We start from the raw sequence: 25639 nt of genomic DNA on the forward strand, positions 1-25639 counted from the left end.
TGGACATTTCACCAAAGAAGCTAACACATAACTAATAAGGAGATGAATAGATGCTCAGCATCATTAGTGTATTATTCCATTTTCACACTGCTGATAAAGACATACCCAAGACTGGGCAATTTACAAAAGAAAGTTGTTTTGGACTTATAGTTCCACATGGATGGGGAGGCCTCACAATCATGGTGGAAGGCAAGGAGGAGCAAGCCACATCTTACATTGATGGTAGCAGGCAAAGAGAGAGGTTGTGCAGAGAAGCTCTTGTTTTTAAAACCATCAGACCTTGTGAGACCCATTCACTATCACGAGAACAGCATGGGAAAGACCTGCCCCCATGATTCAGTCATCTCCCACTGGGTTCCTCCCACAACATGTGGGAATTATGGGAGCTACAAGTTGAGATTTGGGTGGGGACACAGAGCCAAACCATATCAGTTAGTGATTAGGAAAATGCAAATCAAGATCACAAGACACCACTTCATACCCACTAGGATGGCTATAGGCAGAGAGATGGAAAATAACAAGTGATGATAAGGACATGGAGAAATCAAAACCCTCTTACAATGTTAGTGTGAATTTAACTAATTCAGGCACTTAAAAAAACTGTTTAGGTGTGCCTCAAAAGGTAAACATAGACTCTCAAACCCAACAATTCTACTTCTAGATATATACCCAAGAGAAATGAAAACCTATCCATGTGATAACACAACGTTCATAGCAGATTATTCCTAATAGCCAAAAAGTAGAAACAACTCAGATATAGTTGGCCCTCTGTATCCATGATTTCCACATCCATGAATTCAAGCAATTGCAATTCAAAAATATTTGGGAAAAAAATTTCACAGAGTTCCAAAGAGCAAAACTTGTATTTGTCACAAACTGAGTACTACGTTGAATCCACAAGAATGAAGTAATATGCAGGCATTGTATTAGGTATTATAAGTAATCTAGAGATGATTGAAAATATATGAAAGGATGTATGTAGATTATATGCAAATACTATACTGTCTTATGTGAAACCACCTCAGCCTGGACTTCATTGTCCGTATCACTGTCAGCATTTTGGTCAAAGCCATTCAATAAGTCTCTAGGAAGTTCCACACTTTTCCACATTTTCCTGTTTTCTTCTGAGCCCTCCAAACTGTTCCAACCTTTGCCTGTTACCCAGTTCCAAAGTCACTTCCACATTTTCGGGTATCTTTATAGTAGTACCCCACTCTGTCCGGTACCAATTTACTGTATTAGTCCATTTTCACACTGCTATAAATATATACCCGAGATTGGGCAATTTATAAAGGAAAGAGGTTTAATTGACTTATACTTCCACATTGCTGGGGAGGCCTCAGGAAACTTACAATCATGGCAGAAGAGGAAGCAAACACATCCTTTTTCAGAAGGCAGCAGGAGAGAGAAGAGTGAGTAGCAAAGTGGGAAGGGCCCCGCATAAAACCATCATATCTCATGAGAACTCACTCACTATCACAAGACCAACATGGGGGAAGCTGTCTCCATGATCCAATCACCTCCCACCAGGTATCTCCCTAGACATGTAGGAATTATGGGGATTGCAGTTCAAGATGAGATTTGGGTGGGGACACAAAGCTTAACCATATCAGCTACTTTATTATTTCTGTTCTTATTGTCATTTCTGGCCTTCTGCTTATTTTGGGTTTAGTTTTCTTTTTGTAGTTTCTTGTTATGGATAGTTAACTTTTTTATTTGAGATTTTCTTTTTTAACATTTGCATTGATGGCTATAAATTTCCCTCTAAGCACTGATTCAGCTGTATCACATAAGTTTTGGTATGTCATTTTGCATCTTTATTTATCTCAAATAATATTCTAATTTCCCTTGTGGTTTCTTCTTTGATTCATTATTATTTAGGAGTATGTTATTTAATTTCCACATACTTTTGAATTTTCCAAATTTACTGTATTATTTATTTCTAATTTAATTACATCGTCATTGGACAACACAGTTATTTCAATCTCTTTAAACTTAATGAAATTTTTTTTGGTGGGAAGTTTTCTGGTAAAACCTATAAAACCTGCTAGACAAATTCTAAAGGAGCTGCAACACTTATTGAAGCTGTTTTTAAAAATGGTCTAACGTATATTCTCTTTTTGAAAATGTTTCATATGCACTTGAAGAGAATGTATATTCTATTATTGTTCATTAAAGTGTGTATAGATATCTGTGAGGTCCAGTTGGTTTATAGTGTTATCCAGGTCTTACATTTCCTTACTGATCTTCTGCATAGTTGCTGTATCCATTATTGAAAGTTGGAACCAAAGTCTCAAATTATTCTTGTTGAGTTGTCTATTTCTCCCTCTAATTCTTTCAGTTTTTCCTCCATGTATTTTGTGGCTCCATTGTTAGATGCATATATGTTTATAATTGTTATGTCTTCTTGAGGGATTGACCTTTTTAACAATATAAAATATTCTTATTATCAAGTAATACTTTTTTTTCTTAAAGTCAATTTTGCCTGATACTATAGTCACTCTAGTCCTGTTTTGGTTATTATTTGCTTGATATATGTTTTTCCATCCTTTTACTTTCAATAAATTTGTGTCTTTGAATCTAAAGTGTATTTTCTTGTAGAAAGCATATGATTGGATTGTATATTCTGTCAATTCCCTCTTTGTAATTGTAGTTATTTAATCCATTTATTTACAATATAATTATGGAGGAGGATTTAAGTGTGTGATTTAGGTATTTGTTGTGTATATGTCTTATGTCTTTTTTACTGCTCTACTACTGCCTTCTTTAGTGTTAGATATTTTCTAATACCATTTTAATTCCCTTATTGTTTCTTTTACTGTATTTTTTGAGTCATTTTCTTACTTTTCTTAGTTTTTGAGTCAGTTTCTTAGTTTTCATGAAGATTACAATTAATATTTTAATTTAAATCAAACTATTCAGATTAATACTACTTTAATTTAATTAGTAAAGAAAAAAATTTGCTCCAGTGTAGCTCAGTTGTCTCCTCCTTTTTTGTGCTATTGTTGTCTCCTACCAATTACATCTTAAGCCCATCAAGTCAGTTTTATAATTATTGCTATATGCACTTAACTTTTAAATCAGATAAGGAGAAGAAAATAGTTACGAACAAAAATATATTTAAACTATTTTTTATGTTACTCTATGTAGTTACTTCTACTGATGTGCTTTAAAATTTATTCATGTGATTTGAGTTACTGTATATTGTCCTTTCATTTAGGACTTAAAGATTCCCTTTAGTATTTCTTATAGGGCAGCTATGTTAACAATGAGTTATCTTAGTTTTTGTTTATCCTTCAGTTTTGATACATATTTTTACCAGTCATAGAATTCTTGATTTGCAGTTTTTCTTTTTCAGCACTGTGACCATGTCTTCCAGCTGTCTTCTGGCCTCCCTAATTTCTGACAAGAAGTCAGCTGTTTATTTTATAGAGAAGCTCTTGTATTTGATGTCTTCTTTTTCTCTTGATGCTTTTAAGATTCTCTCTGTCTTTGTCTTTCAACAACTTGACTATAATATGTCTAGGTGTAGATATCTTTGTGACTAACCTACTGCAGTTCATTGAGCTTCTTGGATGTGTGGATCCATATCTTTCATCACATTTGTGAAGTTTTGGCCACTGTTTCTCCAAAGATTCTTTTTGTCCCCTTTCTTTCTCTCTCCCATATCATTCTCCAATTATGTGTATATTGGTATGCCTGGTGATGTCCTGTAGGTCTCTGAGGCTTTGTTCATTGTTAAATAAACTTTTTATTATAGAACAGTTTTAGATTTACAGAAAAATCATTGACATAATACAGAGATTTCCTATATTGTACATATCTATTCGTACCTATTGCTAGCATCTTACATTGGTGTGGTACATTTGTTACAATTAATGAGCCAATATTTGTATATTATTATCAAATAAAATCTATATGCCATTTAGGTTTTTTTTTATTTTTTACTTAATGTCTTTCTTGTTCCGGGATCCCATCAAGCATATCATATTGTATCTCCTTAGGCTCTTCTTGAATGTGATAGTTTCTCACACAGACTTTTCTTATTTTCGATGATCTTGACAGTTTTGAAGAATACTAGCGAAGTGATTTTCCCTCAGGTGGAATTTCTCTGATGTTTTTCTCATGATTAGAGTGGATGTATGTGTTTTGAGGTTCTGGTCATTTTTCTTCATGCTTTTTTTTTCCTCCTCTGAATAGGTTTAGTTGACCTGTCTTTGGGTTCTCAGATCTGAGATTCTTTCCTCTGCCAACTCTAGTTTGCTGTTGAACTCTTATTGTGAATGTTTTTATTTCAGTTGTACTTTTCAACTTCAGAATTTCACTGTGTTCCTATTTTTATAACTTCTATTTCTGTATTGATACTCTCTTATTGTTGAAATGGTATTCTCATACTTTATTTTAACTTTAACCATTTTCCCATTTACCCTGAGAACACTAGCTGGTAGTGCTTGCAGCTATAGCATTTACCCTGAGATAACTTTACCATGAAATATCTTGCTTTTATTATTGTTTTTGCATTGCTCTAGTATATTGACTTTGGAAACAAAAGACATCATTCTATTTACAGGATTCAGTTTTTAGCAGTGATATTTCCATTTACAAAATGTAGTAATTCTCAATCACCAAAAACGTCAAATCCTAGAAAACATAGCATTCCTATGTATAATGTTAACACTGTTTTCCAACAGTTGTTGGCCAAAGATTTATTTGGCGAATCCAATTTTTCCAAAATACATGATTCTGATGATTCAGATGATTCTGGTGTTTGCTCTGTTTAGAAATAACTCCAAGAACAGTCTTTATATTTTATTTTCACATTGAAAATTCGTCAGATTTGCTTCAGCCTCATAGAGTGTTTATGTAAAATTAAATAAGCACTGGCAGTGTGCTGCACTTTTTTTTTCTAAACAGGAATAGGGTTTATAAACATAGTTTCTTTTCCTTTCTTTAACATATTTATAATAGGCCATTGAAGGTCTTTGTCCAAGACTTCCCCACGGAGTTTCTATTCACTTTTTTTTCCTTGTGTATAGGTCATACTTTCTTGTTTCTTTGGGTGTCTCATAATTTTTGAAAACTGGACATTTAAAATAATATAATGTGTCAATTCAGATTATTACATATTCCCAGGGTTTGTTGTTGTTGCTGCTGCTTCTGCTTTTTTTGTTTGTTTGTTTGTTTAGTAGCTCTCCTGGACTAATTCTGTAAAGTCTATGTTCCCTCTTGTATACTGCAACTGAAGTCTCTAGTTGATTAGCTTAGTGGTCAGCAATTGAATAGAGATATCTTTCAACACTTTGGACCAATACATTTTCCTTTGCTAAGAAACTCTATGAGTGGATTATGGGATGTTTTCAATGCTCTGGCAGTTTACAATTTTCCCTTAGCCTTTACTTCCTGCTTGTGCAACATCTCAAAGTCAGCCAAAGGTGAGAGATTTGGACCTCCTCATGTCTTTCCTAGGCATCCATACATTCCTACACATGCATATGGCCTCAGAGTCCCTAACAGACATCTCATTCCTAGGTCTTCCTTTTAAGTTTTTGGCCAGGCTCTTCTTTGCTCCAGCTGGTTTTACTGTCTCAGGTAACTGTGATTATAAATAATTGCTATGATTGTTTTTTCCTAACACCCTTGGGATAGGACTTTTTTCAGTGAGTAAGCTCTATCAGGTCAAATAATGACAAGGCCTGAAAATGGGGATTTTCACAACACTACTGGGTAGTCAAATAGTAATACTCTGGGCCGGGTGTGGTGGCTAATGCCTGTAATCCCAACACTTTGGGAGGCCAAGGTGGGTGGATCACCTGAGGTCAAGAGTTTGAGATGAGCCTGGCCAACATGGTGAAACCCCATCTCTGCTAAAAATACAAAAAATTAGCTGGGTATGGTGGTGGGCACCTGTATTCCCAGCTACTCAGGAGGCTGAGGCAGGAGAATCGCTTGAACCTGGGAGATGGAGGTTGCAATGAGCTAAGATTGCGCCGTTGCACTCCAGCCTGGGTGACAGAGTGAGACTCTGTCTCAAAAAAAAAAAAAAAAGAAAAAAGAAAAGAAAAGAAAAGCAACACTCTGAAGACAGGACTTTGGAGGCGCTTCAAATCTGTTTGTCTGCTTTGATGACTGCTAAACTGCTGGTTTTTATAGCTGCCATGGTTGTAAGTCTGCTGCCGGTTTTCATAGCCACCATGGAGCTAGGGAGTGAGGTATGGACATGGAGCAAACTAAAATGACAAAAAGCTCTCTTTTCCTACCACTATTAAGCAGCTTTTCTTAAATAAATGCTCCTTGAGTTGTTACAAGCCTTTAGCTAATTTCCAGAGTTATGAAAAGGTTGATTTTTACAATTTTTATGAGTGTTATTGTTGCCTTTAAGGAGGAACCGATTTTTGGAGGTTCTCACTCTGCCATTTACGAAGATGTACTTCAAATTCATAATATTTTAACCTGATACTTCCTGCTTAAGTACTTCTTATTTTTGTTTGTCTGAAATGATAGGCCTTTATGAAGCTGCACCTGTGTTATAAGACTTCTGAGCAAAAGAACCTCTGATATTTCCATGCTAGAGGTGAATTATTCTTTCATAATCCAGATTATCCTAGTTGTACATATAGCAACTGTATGACACAAAAGAAGCCATGGATTAGAACTACACTGTCATACCAAATAAACCCTTTTTTGCTAATCCCATCTAATTTCTTGAGCTTCTGGTGTACAGGGTAACATCCTAACCCATACCTACATCTCATATCACACATCTCTTCCTCAAGTACATGGCATATAAATTCGTTGTTAGCCCCAGCTGCCCCCTCTTCCTGACCTCTCAGCCCTTCGCTCCCTCTGTACCTAGCCTTGCTGCCACCATTAGAAGCTGGATTACCCTCCAAGGTATAAGAATGCCAGGGTAGGTAGGTCAGTGTCCATGCCCTCATTTTCTTTTTTGTGATTTCTCAGGAGTTCTTATACATATAGATTGATGTGTTATGACTTGCACGTAACCAGATGTCCAATCCTTTTGTTGTTGTTGCTGTCTATCCCTTTATGAAAGTGAGAAACTCAGCCTACACATTTAATTTTTATAACACTGATCACTTTGTTGTCAGTTTCTTTATCTGTGTTTCACATTGCACAGAACACCATGAGGTTAGGGGTATTAGGTTATTTTTCTTTATATCTCTAGGGCTTAACATAGGCCTGGTGCATATTTAGCTTTCAGTCAATGTTTTTTAAATTAATGAATGTCTACATTTCCTAGTAAATTCTACAGATAAAGACCTTGTTTAGACTTCCCAACATGAAGCTAAAACTCTACACTCATATCTCTAGGTATGATATCCCCATCAGCTTAAGAAATTCAAGTGTTCCAGTCTCTCTGTTGCTCTCAAGGTCATGGCTTATAAGGTGCTTCTCGGTGTGACCCTCATTTACCTTTCCAGCCACATTTCCCATCAACGGAGAATCCTAACCAAAGCTTCTGTGGTCCACATACACATCGTATGTTTTTGTTATGCCTTGCACCTTTGCAAATTAATGTTATTTTTTCACTTCTACCATGAGAAACTTGTATTTATTCTGAAATGCCAGCTAAAAATCTACTCCTTCTCTAAACTCTTCTTTTACTTTCTTAGTAGATTTAGTCTCCCTTTTCTCTTTGTTCTAATAAAACTTTGGACATCCCTTTCCTTATTACATTATCATTATCAAGTTATAATTATTTATTTATGTATCAGTTCTTATCAGAGTGCCTGCCACATGAAGGAGCCCAAACAACGTTTAATGAATGATAAATGAATGTTTACTCCTCAACTAGATTGTGAAGATCCTGAAAGTTGCAGCGTGTGTTTATTCTTTGTGCTCCAAGCATTGTCCTGGTCCATAGTAGGCTCATAATATTGTTTCCAATGAATAAATGAGGGATATCAGGGAGTATATCTGCTTAACCATGGAAAAGTTAAAGGACCATCCTGACCAGATCGCAGATGAGTGTTTCAGGTGTACCAAAGTGGCTCTTATTGGCAGGACCACAGAGGGCCTTTTGTGAAATGGAAAAAGGGTCCCCATCTGGCTGGAAATGACTGTAAAAATGCAGGCCTTCGTGAACACAAAGGCCTTTTTACAAGGAAAAAGGAGCCCCATTTTGGATGAAGCAGTCTCATGCCAGGGACAAGGCTTAACAATCTGAACAGAGGGTAGATTTCATACTCTTGTTCCACCTTTGGATAGATGTGTGTCCTTTGTAACAGCCCTGCTTGTCATATACTACAAAGGACTAACTTTCTCTCTCACCACGAGTCATTGCATTCCCTAATGTGGGAAGAGGGTCCTACTTGTATTGAGAACCAAATATCATCCATCTTCAATTCTTGGAACAGCCCATTTTTTCCCCAGGGCACATGGTCTTTTAAATAAGACAAGGATCAGTAAATTTTATGGGCATAACCTTTGTAATGGTATATTTGGTAGGGAAAATAATCCCTTTTTTGTCATAGCCTAATTTTTAGGCAACTGGTGCCAGGGCTCATGATTTGGGGATCTTATCTAACACTTTTAGTTTCTTTAGTTTAAAATGTAAACTGGAAATATATTTTGTAAATAACTTAAAGTTATTCATCTTGGAAATAATTTAATTCTAAGAATACTCATCTAACTCTGAAAGAATTCCCTGATTTTGAATATTTTTATTCCTTCACAAATAGTGAAAATTGAGAAGATTTGTTTTTTTTTTTTAAAGTAAATAGTCAAGACAATTTCTCGGAGGGCAGCTACTACTTACCTGTAAGAAGAGGTATTCCCTCACCAGATGGCAAGAAGGGAAGGAGATAGGTAGTCTCTTAGCAAGCAAGGACTGCTGGTAGAGAGGTCCCTCAGAGGTCATCATTTACCTCATATGCTCTGTCTCCAGAGCAAAGATGTCCCAGTGGTTTTTCTGTGTTCAAAAAACAACTGTTGATTATCCTATCATTCTGATTCTACCCATGCTTTAACAAGAGTAGGCTTCCACCAATTTACACACAAGTTCTGTTCCCCAAATTTGATTGATTAGAAATAAGCTTCCAAAGAGAAGTATTGTTAGACCTGTGTACTTTGGCCAGTTCATAAAATACATTTAAACCCTAGTAGGTAACTGAAGTATAACATTAACAGGCTTATTAACTGCATTCTGGGAGCCACATGATACAATTGAGAGAAAGAGAAAACTCTTCTCTCTTTTTCTTGAGTGCAGGGCTAAGCTTTGACAAAATTTGGAAATGGGTAATGTTTGCTTTTGGACTCTCCCTCCTGAATTAACATGCCCCTAAAATCTGTAGCCCAAGGTTATAACCCAGACCAAAGCTCTGACAGATGGCTCTCAGTTCACATCTTTCCAATTATGTGTAGTGAGCAAAGCACACAGGACTCCTAAAATGGGAAGGGCATGAAAGGACGACTGTGATGGAAGATCAAAAGGGGTGATAGATGCCTTTCTAGAGAATGGAAGCACATGTCATTGATTTGACTATCTTCTTTCACAATCATATTCCTCAAAACATGGTCTGCTTTACCTGAGTCATTTTAGACAAATGTTGTATCTCCAACTGTACGATGATTTGTGGAGAAACAGATTGCAAAACTGGACCTGAGAAGACCTTTAAAAAAGTATATTTAGTCTCATGCTGAGAAGGTTTTCTTGTAGCATGCATTATCTCTTCTCGTCTCCTCCAAGGCCTTTTTCTCTTTTATTAATTTAAAATATTTTATTTGAAGTTTGATTGATGCCGCATAATACACTAAATATATCTTGCTAAATATTTATGTTAAAAGAGTTACTAGTACACAGAGGAAACAGGACAGTAAGTTACACCACATGATCAGAACATGAATTCAAGATATTGCATCACTATTTTTGTTGACATTGGCCATCTCATGGTGCTGGCTCCTCATTTATATTTAGAAATCACTCTTATATTTCCTGAGCGCCACATCTTTTTGGAAGATGGGTGCTTTTAGGTTAGACTGTAAGAGGCTCAAAAACATGCTATATGATGTTATACACGCTTTGTCTGTATGTATAAATGTATGTTTCCTTTTCTGTAAAAAAGTTCCATAGCTGTCAGATTTTCAAAGGTATCTGTGATTCAAAAACAAAAGATTTAGAGCCACTACCTGAATGCAATCTCTTGAGAAATAGTATACTAGGAACAGTATATCAAGTTTAGGTGTTGTGACTTCTGTATTTACTTCTGAAGAAATCCTATTGTCAATTTAGAGCAGAAAAATTTTAGTGTAGCCATTTAAAAGAAATGAATGCATAGAGTTCAGGTAGACATGGTCAATAAAAAAATCTCAATGTAGTTACATTAGAGTGGTTTTAGAGAGGAATGATACAGCTAAAAGGACATGAAATAATTCAAAATATTGGATAATGATAATATGTCTGATATTTGTTGTTTGTCTTTAATTTAATGCTAATGTCTAATTATGTAAAATATTTTACTGTCCAGGGTTTCAAGTGCCAAACTTAATAATTTTTCTCGCTTGGAGCCAACACTTAACCTTCTGGGTGTGCAGTTTGATCAGAATGTGGCCCATGGCATCATCACAGAAAAGCCTGGGGTGGCAACAAAGCTGTTATATCAATTGTACATTGCTCTTCAGAAAAAGAAGAAAAGTGGACTGACTGGAGTGGAGATGCAAACCATGCAACGTCTGACAAATTTAAGACTTCAAAACATGAAAAGTGATACTTTTCAAGAGGTAGGTACATAAAAAAGCATAATAAGCATGTCACAGTGTAAAATTTGATAAAGAGAAATGACAATGATATTGAATTCTCAAAGAAGCCTCATTAGGCATATATATCCTTTATGTATGTTACTGGCCATACTTGGGTTTTATTTTATATTAATAATTTGAATTTATTTAGCCATTTTTGATGTCTCTCTCTATCCTATCCATATTGCCAATAGCTTATCAAACTCTTTTCCTAGTTTCCAGTACTTTTTGTTGTTGTTGTTTTAGAGAGACAGGGCCTTGCTCTTTTGCCCATGCTGGTCTCAAACTCCTGAGCTCAAGCAGTCCTCTGCCTCAGCATCCCAAGTAGCTGGGACTACAGGCCTAATACTTTTTGTGCCTGCTCCTCTCTTCCTGTTTCTACCCCATCATATCTGCTCAGATCTTCTTATCAACTACTGCAGCAACCTGCTAAAATGTCTCTCAATCTTCTGGATAAGTCAATCAACTGCTAAATGAATCTTCCCTAAATTTTACTTTTATTGAGTTCTTCTGCTCAGAAACCTATTTTTACTTCTTTCTAGTCCTCAGCATGGTATTTCTTTCTTCTATGTTAATTGACAGTCTGTCCTTAAATATGACTGTCTATTCCTGCTCTTCCTTCCCTCAAACCCAAACTCACCCTTCTCATCTCTCCTCTTCCCCAAACTGTTCTTCATCTACCGTGCAGCCCAGTACACACGGGTAGTCCCAGTTCTTCCTTTGGAACTCTAGAGCATAAGTAATTCTCACTCTCTTGGTTTTACCGTCCTGATACTGATATTGTTGGCTAACTAGTCATTATTTATTTGTCATATGACCTTACCAGATTTTTAGTACATCAGATTTGATGAATATGTCTAGTACAATGCTTCAAATGTTGTAAGTACTCATTAAATGTGTTATTGACTAATTGATATGACTTTTTAGTTGACAATTCTCTCCAGTTTTTATGCAATTCCTTATGGTAAATGAAGTGCATTAACTTTTACAGGCCTCTGGAATAATCATGAGTGCTGCACTGATGCAAAATAGTAAATATCAATGGATAGAATTATATTTTTAAATTTAAATTTTGAAGCAGCAATGACGTAATAGATATGAGGGCTATCTCCATGTTTATATTTGTCCATTCTTCATGGATATCATTGTAAGTCTGGTAGCAGAATGGACTCAGCGCTCCTTGAGAGCTAGAAATTAGATTAGTCTTAATATGAATAATTTATTATTGCATTCGGCCTCCTTCACTTGCAAGCTGGTTAACATTGAGCCAGCCTCTAAACAACTCTCAGCTTCAATTTCCCCAACTGTAAAAACAGGGATGCTTATTTCTACCTGCCTCAGTGTTCAGAATTGGATGTTTTTGTAGCTTCAAGAAAAAGAGTGGACTAACTGGAGTGGAGTTTATATATAATAAAATGTAAAGCAGTCAACAGTGGCAAGTGCTATAAGAGCTGTGTAGATGAAGACAAACAAGTGCCTATTAGCTCATTTAATGTTGGTCATGGGTGAACTTCAAGCGTCAATAATTCATTCACTGAACAAATATTTATTGGGCTCCTACTTTTTGTCAAGCACTTGCACAACAAATACACAGGAAAAGCCCCAACCCTCTTAGAGCTTACATATTGGGGAGAGAAAAATGTTTCATTAGAGTGATATGGATTGCAGTGAGTTGAGAAGGACTTTGGAGATGAGGAAGAGGGTAACATAGATTATTCTTTCAAGAAATGTGGAGGTAAAGAAGAGAACAGTAGGAGAGAAAAGCTCAAGTGAAGTATGAGATTGCTTGTTTTATGGACCTAGAGACTGGGGCCACTTATCAGTTGAGAAAAAGAGTCAGTGGCAGGAGAGATGAAAATGGTACAAGGACAAGATGGAAAGAGGCCCTCTGGGGACGGAAAGAGGAATATGCAATCAATGGTTCATGTGGAAGAGGTGATATCATAGGAAAGAAGTAGAGATGCCATCTTCTTTGATACTGGATGAGAAGAGGTGCAGGTAATATTAATAATGGTTGAAATTTATTAAACAGCATGCCTAGTGATGTGCCAAGCCCTGTTTCAGGTGCTTTATGAATATTATCTCACTGGATCTTCACAACAGCCATAAAATATAGTTACTTTCATTATTCCCATTTTACAGATGATGAAACTAAGGCACGGATGGATTAGGTAACTCGCCCAATTTTAAGCAGCTAGTAAGTGGTAAAGCTGAAACACAAACCTAGGAAGTTTTAATGTTTCTTCACTTTTTACTAAGGAGTGGCTAAGCAATGGGAAGAATCTAGCTTCTTATATTATCTCTTATATGTTAAAGTTGGTTTAATGAAATTATTTTTGCAAAAAAAATAAATAAAATTTATTTCCAAGAATATAAATACCATTTATTGAAAATTTAACTCAGTGTAAAAAGTTTAACTATAAAAGTATATATGAGGCTATTTTGTAAGAAGAACCACAAAGGATAATGTTTTTATAATTGTGCTTACATCAATTAAGAATATGAGTAATTGGAATGGGGTTTGAATTTAGCTTAACTATCAACAATAGTAATTTAAAGAATTTCATTTTGAAGACAAATTTTATTTGTGCTTATAATGAAAATGTACTCTTTATTCTCTAATAAAATCTTTTGAAATGCTTTTTTCATTTAGAGACTTAGACACATGATACCACGTCAAACTGATTTCAATCTGATGCGGATTACATACAGGTTTCAAGAAAAATATAAACACGTGAAAGAAGATCTTGCCCATTTGCATTTTGAGAAACTTGAAAGATTTCAAAAACTCAAGGAAGAGCAAAGATGTTTTGATATTGAAAAGGTTCTATAGAACTATTTTTTCAGAAATTCATTAGTGCATAGTATACAGTTTGTGATTTATGCGTATAGTACACATTGCATAAGTAGTAGTGGAGCACAAGTTGCACTTCCCTGATGCATGACTTTGTCCTGCCCTACTCTCACCCTTTCTCTCTCTCCCCTGCTCCTTTTCTCCATCCTGACTCTTGCTGACTCTCACCTCTACTTGTGGCTGAGAACAAGAACTGCCATCTTCTGGAGTGGCAAGACAACTGCATTACCTTCACTGGTAGAAATCAATGTTTCAGCTGCTTTAGTGATGGAGGGTTGCTATTAGCTACCCCATTGGTCAAAGGCACATGACCATTGTCACCACTGAGGGAGATAGATCAGACAATGTCCTCTCGCTTTCTCCTCTTTTGCAACCTTCGGTCCTGCCCCATTTCTCTGTTCTTGGAGATGTGAGGTAATTCTTTGCTTGCTTACCTTTTCAATCACCTTGAACAACTCTCAACTTCTTTCTGGCCCTTGCTTCTTGCTTTGACTAACTCTCTGCTCCTTCTCAGATTTCTTTAAAACTCTTTAATGATCTTCTGTGCCTTTGTGGGTGAGAGAATAATGGTACATGAAATCATTAAAGATTTTTAAGAGTATTTCAGGTGACTGGGTATATGGAATGTGTAAACTACAGGCAAAAGAATTATGTAGTTCTTCCCATTGCACTGTAAAATCACTTTTTAAATTCATGGATTTATTTGCAATGATAAGAAATTATATTCTGAATGTAGTCAGCTCTTTGTAGGGAAGAATGGGAAGATGACAGACAAACTGGAAGATCACTTGGAAGCTGGTTAACATTGAGCCAGCCTCTAAATAACTCTCAGCTTCAATTTCCCCAACTGTAAAAACGGGGATGCTTACTTCTACCTGCCTCAGAGTTCAGAATTGAACGTTTTTGTAGCTTCAAGAAGAGTGGACTAACTGGAGTAGAGTTTATATATAATAAAATGTAAAGCAGTCATGTAATTATATGACTTGCCAGAGGGTAAATAAAGGATTATATTCCCCTTTGGTGTTACATGATAAAGAGAGAAAGCACTCTTAAAGTAGTGTTTAAGTTGAGACCAATTGCTGTGACTGTAATTTATGTGGAACCAGCCTGTCTATTAGTGCCAAGCCTAATGCAGACAGTCTCCAAGAATGTTGAGAAAAAGGAAATATGATACCATTAAATATTCTGAAATAAATTATGTTCAAAATGATCATAGGGAACAAATAAGGCAAAAGGAAGACTCTGTGTCTTCCTGGTCTTCTTAAGAAAAAAAGATAAACATATTGCAATTAAATAAATATTCATATTTTGGAAAATGAAGAAAATTGTCTATAATGTATGCCTTTTTAAGGGTAAATTGAAATTTTTTATCTTTGGACATGAGAGCTAATGATCATATTAGTTCTAATATAATGTATTAGTAGTAAAGTCATGATTAGTTTCACATATTACCTCTTAAATCATTTACTTTTAAAATACTTTATCTGATTTTTCAGTCACTTTTTCTTTTCAAATACATTCTCCTGCTTATAGTCTTCTTAAAATAACTACTGCCTACATACAGAAGAGATGATCCAATAATTGTATCACATAATTTATTGTTAATTCAATTTTGAGGTTGCCCCTGAACTCATTGTTTAAGTGTGACTGGGTTTTGGGGAAGTTTGTGATTTTTATTGGGTTTCGCAGGAGCCCTCCTAGAAACTATCTCCTAGATAGAATTTTCTCATTGAACCATCTTCAGAGATAGAATTTTTTTCTTCCCATCCTTGGTAAGGTCATGGCAGTAGGATTGGGAAAGAATTATACACTTATTTATATTTGGGACATCTTTGTTGTCCTTTTAGTATCAGCACACAGAATTAAAATACAGACATTTAATAGATATGATTTGCAGATTCCAGAATTGTGTTTTAATATCATGCTTTTCACAGTAAGTCATATTAACACCTCCTTCTTAATATTACACAGTTGTGACACCTAGTCTCTTGGCTAATTGCTGGGTTCTGAAATTTTCAATAGATAAATTTTATATATTTGTACCTATGAGTGTATTATATTGCCTATTCTGTTATTCTGAATCACTAAACTAATGTATATGGGATATTCAGCAATACTTAAACAGAAGACGACAAAATGAAATAATGGCCAAAATCCAAGCAGCTATTATACAGATTCCTAAACCTGCATCAAATCGTACTTTGAAAGCACTCGAGGCCCAAAAAATGATGAAAAAGAAAAAAGAGGCAGAAGTAAGTGATAATCCTTTAATATTGTGCTGTGTTTATCTTAACTAAAGAATAGTCTGTCTCTGGAACATATAGAGAGACTTTCCAAAACTTCACATTTGCTTTCCAAATTATCTCTGACCTTGTCCTTTCTCATTCAGAATTCTTCCACTATATGCATATTCAACTTATTTTATATTGTTATTTGTTCAGAACGAAGAATGTAGCTTTAGGCCAGCAATGGCAAACTCCTATTAAATGGCAGTCTGGACTCCTGTGTTGAAAAAGATTCTGTGGTCAATAACAAAGTAGGTCAGAATGGGTGCTGTTGTAATGGGTCATGTCTTATCCATTGTGTTGCTATAAAAGAATACCTGAGGCTGGGTAATTTTTAAAGAAAAAGAGGTTTATGTCACTTATGTTTCTGAAGGTTGGAAGATTCAAGACTGGGTATCTGGTGAGGGCCTTAGTAAGGAGAAGGGGGAGGGGAAGTGGAGCCATAATGTGCAGACATTACATGGGGGGAGAGAAAGTGAGAGAGAGGGTGTAGGGAGGGAGAGAGAGAGAGAGAAGGTGCCAGGTTCTTTTTAACAACCAGCTCTCATGGGAATTGATAGAGTCAGAACCCACCTCTAGGGAGGGAATCAATCTATTCATGAGGGAAAAAGAGAGTGAGAGAGAAGGTGTCAGTCTCTTTTTAACAACCGGCTCTCATGGGAACTAACAGAGTAAGAACTCACTTACCCCCAGGGAGGTCATCAGTCTATTCATGCATGATCCACCGCCATGACCCGGACACCTCCCGTTAGGTTCCACCTTCAACACTGGGATCAAATTTCACATGCGGTTTTCAGGGACAATCATCCAAACCATAGCAGGTCATAACTGCCATGGGTACAGCAGGGGCCAGTCAAGGTACACATAGCATATGTATGCCATTCCTACTATATGCTTTTACTCGATTCCTCCTCATCATGCCACACTATTTTTCTATGAATCCCAGGAATGTTAAGTGACTTGTTGCTATCAGTATATTTAAATTTAAGATACCTGTACCAGTGACATTTTACTGGACCACACCAACTGTCAATCATTTCAGTAAGAGGCAATCTCATTATATTTCACAGGAGAGCAATGTTACAGTTCAGTTTGATACAAATTCCTGCAATTCACACTGCATACTGCTACAATGATTGTTTATATTCTCTCATGTGACCTATAAAGATGATTAATAGCTACCATTTATTGAACATGTGCTGTATGTCAAGCTGTGGATTGGGCACTTCACATTATCTTTAATTTGTAAATAACTCTCTAAGTAGGGTATTATTTTTCCCATTTCGTAGATGAGGAAACTGAGACCCAGAGAGTTGACATGTTTTACCCAGTGGTAGTAAAGCAGAGATTGACAGATCTCTCTGATTCCTAAATCCATTGAATTTTACATTAATTCACTTTTTTTTTGTTTTTTAAATACTAACAAAATATTCTGTACTTGGATTCTAAAATTACCACCTACAGAGGCTTTTATCTGACTCCATTTCACTATCTACCTTTCATATGTCCCTGAGTTGATTAAAGTTTTTTTTTTGTTTTTTTTTGTTTGTTTTTTTTCTTTTTTGACACAGTCTTACTCTGTTGCCCAGGCTGGAGTGCAGTGGTAAAATCATGGATCATTGCAGCCTTAACCTCCAAGGCTCAAGTGATCCTCCTGCTTCAGCCTCCTGAGTAACTGGGACTACAGGTCCGCAAGGCTGCTCTCGAACTCCTGGGCTCAAGCAAACCACTGGCCTTGACCTCCCAGAGTGCTGGGATTACAGGTGTGAGCCACTGCATCTGGCCTGATTAAAGTTTTTTAAAAAGTGTTTGTAAAACACAAAGATGACCTAAAGTTAAACTTCAGATAACTAATTAATAGTGTAAATAAAGTTGCATGAGGAATGTTTAAAACACCCAGGACAACCATTTTTAAAGAAATATTTGACTTTGGAAGGCCGAGGCGGGAGGATCACCTGAGGTCAGGAGTTTGAGGCCACCCTTGTCAACCTGGCGAAACCCTGTCTGTATTAAAAATACAAAAGTTAGCCGGTTGTGGTGGCGCATGCCTGTGATCCCAGCTACTCAGAAGGCTGAGGCAGAAGAATCACTTGAACCCGGGAGGTGGAGGATGCCTTGAGCCGAGATCGCGCCACTGCATTCCAGCCTGGGCGACAGAGTGAGACTCCATCTCAAAAAAAAAAAAAAGAAAGAAAAAAGAAAAGGAAATATTTGTATCCAAAAATGTATGTCCTGACTCTTTGATAATCTTTATTCTAATGAAATGCCCTTTGGTGCCCTGTCAAAATCATGAAGTGAATGATTCAGGGGAGGCAATTTTCACATTCTTTTAGGTATAGTTAGCCCAGTCTAAAAGCAACAAATCAAAATTATAAAAAAAATTTTTAGAATGCAGCTTTTCATATCCTAATTACCTTGAATTAGTAGTACTTGTCACTTTATAAACTTGAATGAATGTGTAAATGAAGATTTTTCAATGGTTTTTAGAGGCAGAGAACTGATGATGAATTTTCTTTAAAGGATGTGGCTGATGAAATTAAGAAGTTCGAAGCATTAATAAAAAAGGATCTCCAAGCAAAAGAAAGGTGAGATGTGAGCTATTTTAAGAATTACAAAACCGCATTCTGTTCTACACATAGCTTTTGAATATTTAGAAATAGTTTATCTGGAAGAGCTATTCCAGGATCTTTTCACTCCAAAGAATCTTGATTCAGAGAGTAATTAGGGAAGATAAATGAGCTAAAGTTCAGATTGTTAGCAACTGTTATAAATATCTGAGAGAAAGAGACTATTACGAAATGTAAAGTTGATTTATTTTTCTGTGCTATGTTTATTCTTCTAAGTTCACACATATTTTTTAAACATTCACTAAAATTGTTTCAAGGTACCACTAATTTAAATTTGTCACAGTAAATCCTTTATTAGATTCTAGTTTGGTTTATATCATGCTGTATCCTCAGCAGTTAGCATAGAGACCAGCAGTAAGAAGTTGAGTGAATGAGTTCATTAAACAAATGTCACTAAGACAGTCACTTTGGTGGGTCCATTGAACAAAGTTCCTCATTAACTGGCTTCATCTACCTAAAGATAAAGCTCCTTCACACTTTGTTTTCTATGAGAGGTCATTGATTCACAGAAAATAATTCATTAGGGATGACATATGTAGGAACAACTTGGGTTTTTTTATATTTTTAAATGGAAATGATCCAAACTCTATGCATTTACATCTTACGAAATATGAGATAAATCTCTGTTAAAGAAGGTACTAATTCTAAAGAAAAGCAGAAAAAAATTACATACTTCAGTTTCATATTAAAATTTCCTGACGGAAGGGAGAGACAGTCAAATGAGGAGGAACAAGGAAAATCAGAGCCATAAGGAAGAAATGATGAAGTCAGGTGTAAGAAAGAAAATTAAGCAAAATGGAGAATACTCATGTACATTGCCTTTCCTCCTACCCTCTGCAGAAACTCCTGATGCCCTATTCTGATTCCCACTCCCATTTATCAGTGTTGATCCTGACCTGTAAAAACAACATAATCCAAGTCTCCTCATCCATGCAGCCACCACTTGAACCCTAGCACACACCTACCCTGACCTTGGCCCATGAAAATACCAATTTCTTCTCATTCTTTCACCCATCTCTCTAACCATAGGCTCTGTGGTGATAAACAGTTGGTGTCCACCAGAAAGACCATCTTAAACTACTGAATACTTTGCTACTTGGTGAATGCTACTTTCTGTAGCTCCCTGGCCTGCCCCTTTCCTGGGACCCCTCAATTTCCACACAGTTTAGCAACCATAGTTAAGATGAAGCACAGCACTGTCTCCCAGGCCCTGCACCAGTATCCATGTCTATTGGTTAGTGTCCTTGCCATGTCAGTTATTAAATGTCTTAAAGATCATCCCTGTACATTACAGCTGCAAACATTTACCTGCTCCCTATTGCCTTTGCCAACCCAACCAGACCCTAGGTCTCTATCAGTTAGTTTCAGAAACCCCAAAACAACAGTGAATGAAATTAGAGGGAAATCTGCTTGTCTCTCATGTAATAGAAATCAGAAGGTAAGCAGCCCATAGTGTATGCTGTAGCTCCAGGGTTATCAAGGACTGAGGCTTCTCCTTTCTTTTGCCTCACTGTCCTGTTGTGTGGTTTTCATCCTCAAGGTTACATTCATGATACAAGATGGTTGCTGGGACTCCGGCCACTTGGCCCATGTTCCAGATATCAGGAAGGAAGACAGACAAAAAAGTAGATATCTCCTATCTGAAATAGCTTCTTTCAAAAGCCTTCCCAGAAGTCCCATATAACATTTCTGCTTATATCTTATTGGAGAGCATTCAGTCACATGGCCACACCTGACAGAGTGGGAAGCTGGGAAACGTAGTCTTTAACTGGACACACTGTTTCCCTGCATAAAATTGGGGTTCTATTTTGAGAGAAAAGGGAGGGAAATAGTAGTGTCAGGTCCCTTCTTCACAGAAGCCTTCACTTGGTCCTGCCAAAGATTTCCAGCAGAGGGCATCTGAGATATTGACACCCTCACTTACAGCAGGAGGAGAAGGCCTGGGGCAGCTGAAGTCCCTGGGCCAGTTACCTGTGGCTGTGAACAGCTTCATCTGAGAATCTAAATCCTTTCCAGTGTGTTGCACAAAGTTCGTTTTCTCTTTTGGCCTTAAAAAGAAAAACGTTGGGAAGTGCTGGCCTAGAGCAAACTTTTCAAGAAAACAGAGGCTATGGTTACAATATAGCACCCTTCTTAAGCCATTTCATTAATCACTACTTTTTTTAGTTCATGCTGAATCTTAGCTTAGAATCAAGAATGTTCTGGGCACATTGAAAAACTTCACACTAACTTGACTCCAGAAGGCAATACAGTCTCCCAACTTGAACCTCAGGAGCACTTTCTGCAGCTGCCTTTTTCATAGCCTGCTCCTGAACAGTTTCTCTGGATGCCACCTCAAAGTCCATCGTTTTTCTTTTGTGGAAGAATGAAATAATGTCTCATGCCAGCAATGCAAGAGCCCTCATGGCTGGTTTTTCCCCGTGTAACAAGGTTCCTCCATTTTTTCATTTTTTAGATGAATAATAAATCCTGTCTGCTATTTGTTTCTTTAGCTGGGGTTATTGGCTGCTGTAATTTGGTATTTGGGTTAATATATTTGTCAGAGGCTTTTCCCAGCAACTACTTCTTAAGAAACACAAATTTGACCAAGGTTTCTGCTACTAATAGATTATACACATACAATTATTACATTAGATGAAGGTCTGGCAAGCAAACAGATAAAAAGAAAATATAATCACTGCCCTCAAGAAACCTACATCTAGTAAAATGAATATTTATTCAAGTACATAATGTGTAGTTTTTTTTCACCTTTATTGGAATAAGACAACAGATGGATGGGTTGACTAATTGATAAAGGAGAAGCAATTTGTTAAGTATATTATTGACAGCATAAATATTGTGTTGAGAGAGCTATTAACCCACGCTCAATCCAGGGCAGGAGCTTTTACACAACACACTTAAGTACAAATATAATAAGATTTTTGATGAAAGATCTAAAAGTGTTACGCTACACAATTAAATACTAAATCTTAATAAATAGATAGGGTTAAACTCTGTCTTTGGCCTTACTGAGTGCTTGGTACCTACATAATTTGTGCTCAACTCTTCTCAGTGACAGAATACAATCAAAGGTTGAGCCCCGGCTGATAAAATGATTGGAACTTTAGTTTGATTTTTATGTATGTATGGTGTTTTTTAGCACATTATTTGAAATTTAGCAGACATCAACTATTTGCTGGGCATGCTAGGCACAGGTGCAGGCAGAAGAAAAATAGGATACTTCTCTTATTCACTAGGAGATCAGCTGGGAGGCGCAAACCTCCAAATTATGACCTATACTACAATATGGTCTATATTATAAATATGCAGGTATTACATCATAAAAATTAAACATGAGTTAACTATGTTTTTATCAGAGTACTTGTGTCTATATAAGAATTGATGACAAGTCTCTACACACTTTAATAATATATCCTTATTTTTTGAATAATAAGATTATAAGTAATATTGTAAACCAAATATATTAATTACTTGTAACAAAAGCAATGATTATACATAATATAAAAATTCATTATTTCTAGGCAAGTAACATTATGGTATATCTTGTACTATTGTATTATTCTGTTTACTTTTTGAAGAGGATGCAGATGAGAATTGATGATTATTTGATCTTTGTATACATAAAAATGTATCTTTTAATGATAAATTTGGAATGAATCTATGAATTCTGTACCAAGCCCCCATTTGACTCACTAAATTGAATGTGCTTAACTTTCTGTTGGGAAGACCACTGGGTTCTTCCTGATCCTTTACGTTTTGGACATGAGATAGGACAAGAGCTCTGAGTTGAGTCTTCTCACTTGAATCTCTAGGGCATGAGCAAGAAGCCAGTCAGACCTGTGCTTACATGTGTGGCATGGCAAGCAAGCCAAATTTCAACTGCTGTGTTTTCAATAAGTGTTCAGCGACTGTTCTAAGCAGTCAAAAATTGATCTGAGAGTTGATAGAGTAACTTGCACTTTCATAGATGATGGAAGAGTGTAGTAGATGGAACCATCTGTACATAGAAGTATTCTAGTGACCTGGCATTAATGTGCCTGGTCTGCTGTTGCGAGCTGTGCCTTCCCTGACACTTGGGTTATCAATAGTCTGCCTATTGTTGACTCAAAACAGGGGAGGTCAGAGGCCCAGAGCCAGCAGGAAGAAGAGGAAAAGAAATCCAGAATTTCCGGTTAGAATGAAAATCATAAAAAGTAAGGCCGGGCGCAGTGACTCACGCCTGTAATCCCAGCACTTTGGGAGGCCGAGGCAGGCAGATTATGAGGTCAGGAGTTCGAGACCAGCCTGACCAGCATGGTGAAACCCCTGTCTCTACTAAAAATACAAAAAATTAGCCGGGCGTGGTGGCGTGTGCCTGTAGTCCCAGCTACTCGGGAGGCTGAGGCAGGAGAATTGCTTGAACCCAGCAGGCGGAGGTTGCAGTAAGCCGAGATCGCACCACTGCACTCCAGCCTGGGTGACAGAGTGAGACTCTGTCTCAAAAAAAAAAAAAAAAAAAAGTAAAATAACAGGCTGGGCACAGTGGCTCATGCCTGTAATCCTCAGCACTTTGGAAGGCCAAGGTGGGCAGATCACCTGAGGTCAGGAGTTCGAGACAAGCCTGCCCAACATGGTGAAACCCTGTCTCTACTAAAAATACAAAATTAGCCTGGCGTGGTGGCACATGCCTGTAATCCCAGCTACTCAGGAGGCTGAGGCAGGAGAATCACTTGAACCCAGGAGGCGGAGGTTGCAGTGAGCCAAGATGCGCCATTGCACTCCAGCCTGGGCAACAAGAGCAAAACTTTATCTCAAAAAAAAAAAAAAGGTGAAAGAATAAAAAGCTGATGGGCCTTGAAAGAAGGCTATGATAAGGACCTCACAGAGAATTTAGAAATGGGGTGAAGCAAATGGGATCTGTTGATAAGCTATTGGTATCACACTGATTTCAAATATTTTCTTCAATGCTTGTATTAATAAATTAACAGTGAACTCAAGGGATCCTTCTCCTGAGGTCTTTCTCCATAGTCACAGATAGTGGCATGGGATCACATTATTATTTAAAAATCTAAAATAAAAACTATTATTCTTAGTGCATCCAAGACTTCTTTAGATACAGCAGGCCAGACAACCACCGATTTGTTAAATACTTACTCAGATGACGAGTACATTAAAAAAATCCAGAAGCGCCTTGAAGAAGATGCTTTTGCACGAGAGCAAAGGGAGAAAAGACGGCGGAAATTGTTAATGGACCAGTTAATAGCCCACGAAGCACAAGAGGTAAGATATTTAGATGAAGGTTAAGTAATAGTGCTGGGAATTCTACAAAATGTAGTCTTCTATACACATAATATGTAGTTTATATATGTATTGTCTGCTACTCTGCATCAAATGTCACTTTCACATCCTCATCATAATAGCAAATATACTAGGAAGAAAAGTAGCTATTTACTAAAGAATCTAAAATCTGGTGATAGTTGTACAACATTGTGAATGTAATTAAGACAAATGTATACTTTAAAAATGGTAAATTTTATGTTATGTATATTTTACCTTAATAAAAAATACATTAAAAGGAACCTAAAATCTGTATCTGCCATGTGTACTCTATTGTTACTTTTAGAGGAAAAAGGGAATGGTTTAATGAAAACAATGTGGAAAAGTTGTTCATCCTCTCCTTTTGTTCGCCAGTCTATTCCAGTGGTTCTTTAAGCATGGTTCCTGGACGAACAGCACCAGCATTGCTTGGGACTTTTAGGAATACAGATTATTGGGCCCCACCCCAGACCAGACCTGAAACTCTGGGGGTGGGGCCCAGTGATCCGTGCTAACAGGCTGTCTAGGTGATCCTGACGCCACTGCAGCTTGAGAATCACTGATCATTTCTTACATTGAACACATATTTATTGAACTTCTATGCTTTGAGTACTTGTGATAGGCCCAGAGATATGACAGAGAGCAAGAATAACAAGACACCTGTCTCCCAGAGCTTTCTGTTTATAGGAGCATCTACAAACAGCAAGTACATTGGAGTGTGAAAGTTCTGTGAAGGTGAAAGAGGGATTAGGGTGAATGACACTTAGAGAAGTCCACCTGGCTTGCTTCAGGAGACAGTGTCTGGAGGACAATAGCAGAAGCATGGATAAAGAGTCAGGAGTTAGCTAATTGAAGGTGGGATGGTCGTGGTGGGGTCAGGGTTAGGGGCAGTTTCCAGGAAAGGTGGTGGAAGGTGAGTGTTTCCAGACAAGGGAATATCACATGGAAAGCTCAGTGTTTTTAGCTAACTGAAAGTCATGCCATCTGGCAGGAGTCACCAGAGGCCAAATTATGATGAGCCTTGTAAGATACACAGAAAGAAATAGGAGATTTTGTGATTTCCTGTTTGAATGCAAAGCAGAATAAGAGTGACCAGGTCAGACTTGCCTGTGGAAAGATCACTCTGGCTTTAGTTTGGAGAATAGATTACAGAAGGGCAATCCAAGTCTGTTGTTGCTGTAATTCAGGTAAGAGATTATCCCAGTTTAAATGTAGTGTAGTGGCAATAGGGATTGAGAGAAGTAGCTTTAAGAGCTATTTTGGAGGTAAAATCAATAAGACTTATTGATTCATTAAACAAGGGAAAGTGAAAAAGTGGGATGAAAAATTGGATTTCTAGGTTGTGCACCTGGATGGCTGGAGGTGTAATTTGCTGAGATATGGAAGATGGTAAGAGGAACAAACTTGGGGTGGGCAGTGATTTCAGTTGGGAATGTAAATAGGACAAATCTGCATGTCTACAAAGACCATTTGAAGATGCTTTTATTCACCTACCCACGTCTGGTCTGCTTGTTCGCTGAAAGGAAATAAAGCCTTCATATAAATATGAAGAAGTGAAATTTATTCATGGATTCCACTTCTTTCTTAGTGAAAGTTCAGAAAAATAGCTCTGCACATCTCTTTGTGCTAGAAAGTTATTTCTTCATATTCTGATTTCTTCAAATTTTATCTTTATTCAATCAGTTTGGTTATCTCCCTTTTAATTAGAAGAATTTCAAATTATGAAAACTAGATAGTTGAAAAGTTAGTTTTAAAATACCTACCCATTTCAAGTTTCATTACCTAGCAATGAAATTTTGAACACATTTCTATGTATGTTCCAA

The 25639-nt window shown here is 36.9% G+C and overlaps 1 protein-coding gene and 1 pseudogene across 21 annotated transcripts in view, besides 1 other annotated feature; one reads left to right on the forward strand and one right to left on the reverse strand.

Moving 5' to 3' along the window:
- Positions 1–25639, forward strand: part of SPEF2 (sperm flagellar 2) — a 196749-nt gene that overhangs the window by 13084 nt on the left and 158026 nt on the right. For 16 of the 21 annotated variants that reach the window (XR_925655.3, XM_011514136.4, NM_024867.4 and 13 more), the window contains exons 3-7: positions 10485–10737; positions 13409–13579; positions 15721–15861; positions 18415–18479; positions 23594–23780. Coding sequence is in view for 20 of the 21 variants with exons in the window: in XM_011514136.4 (XP_011512438.1) it covers positions 10485–10737; positions 13409–13579; positions 15721–15861; positions 18415–18479; positions 23594–23780 (817 nt within the window). In the remaining variant the exon portion in view is untranslated. The other 5 variants (XM_024446219.2, XM_011514140.3, XM_017009880.3 and 2 more) reach the window with 3 other exon arrangements.
- Positions 2017–2078, reverse strand: RNU7-130P (RNA, U7 small nuclear 130 pseudogene; annotated as a pseudogene).
- Positions 22461–22755: a silencer, noted in NCBI's record as "tiled region #7256; HepG2 Repressive non-DNase unmatched - State 24:Quies". NCBI's record gives its function as "represses a minimal TATA promoter and a strong SV40 promoter by Sharpr-MPRA in HepG2 cells {active_cell/tissue: HepG2}" and the evidence as "EXISTENCE:reporter gene assay evidence [ECO:0000049][PMID:27701403]".

This window comes from Homo sapiens, chromosome 5 (genome assembly GCF_000001405.40).
Source record: "Homo sapiens chromosome 5, GRCh38.p14 Primary Assembly".
Lineage (NCBI taxonomy): Eukaryota > Metazoa > Chordata > Mammalia > Primates > Hominidae > Homo > Homo sapiens.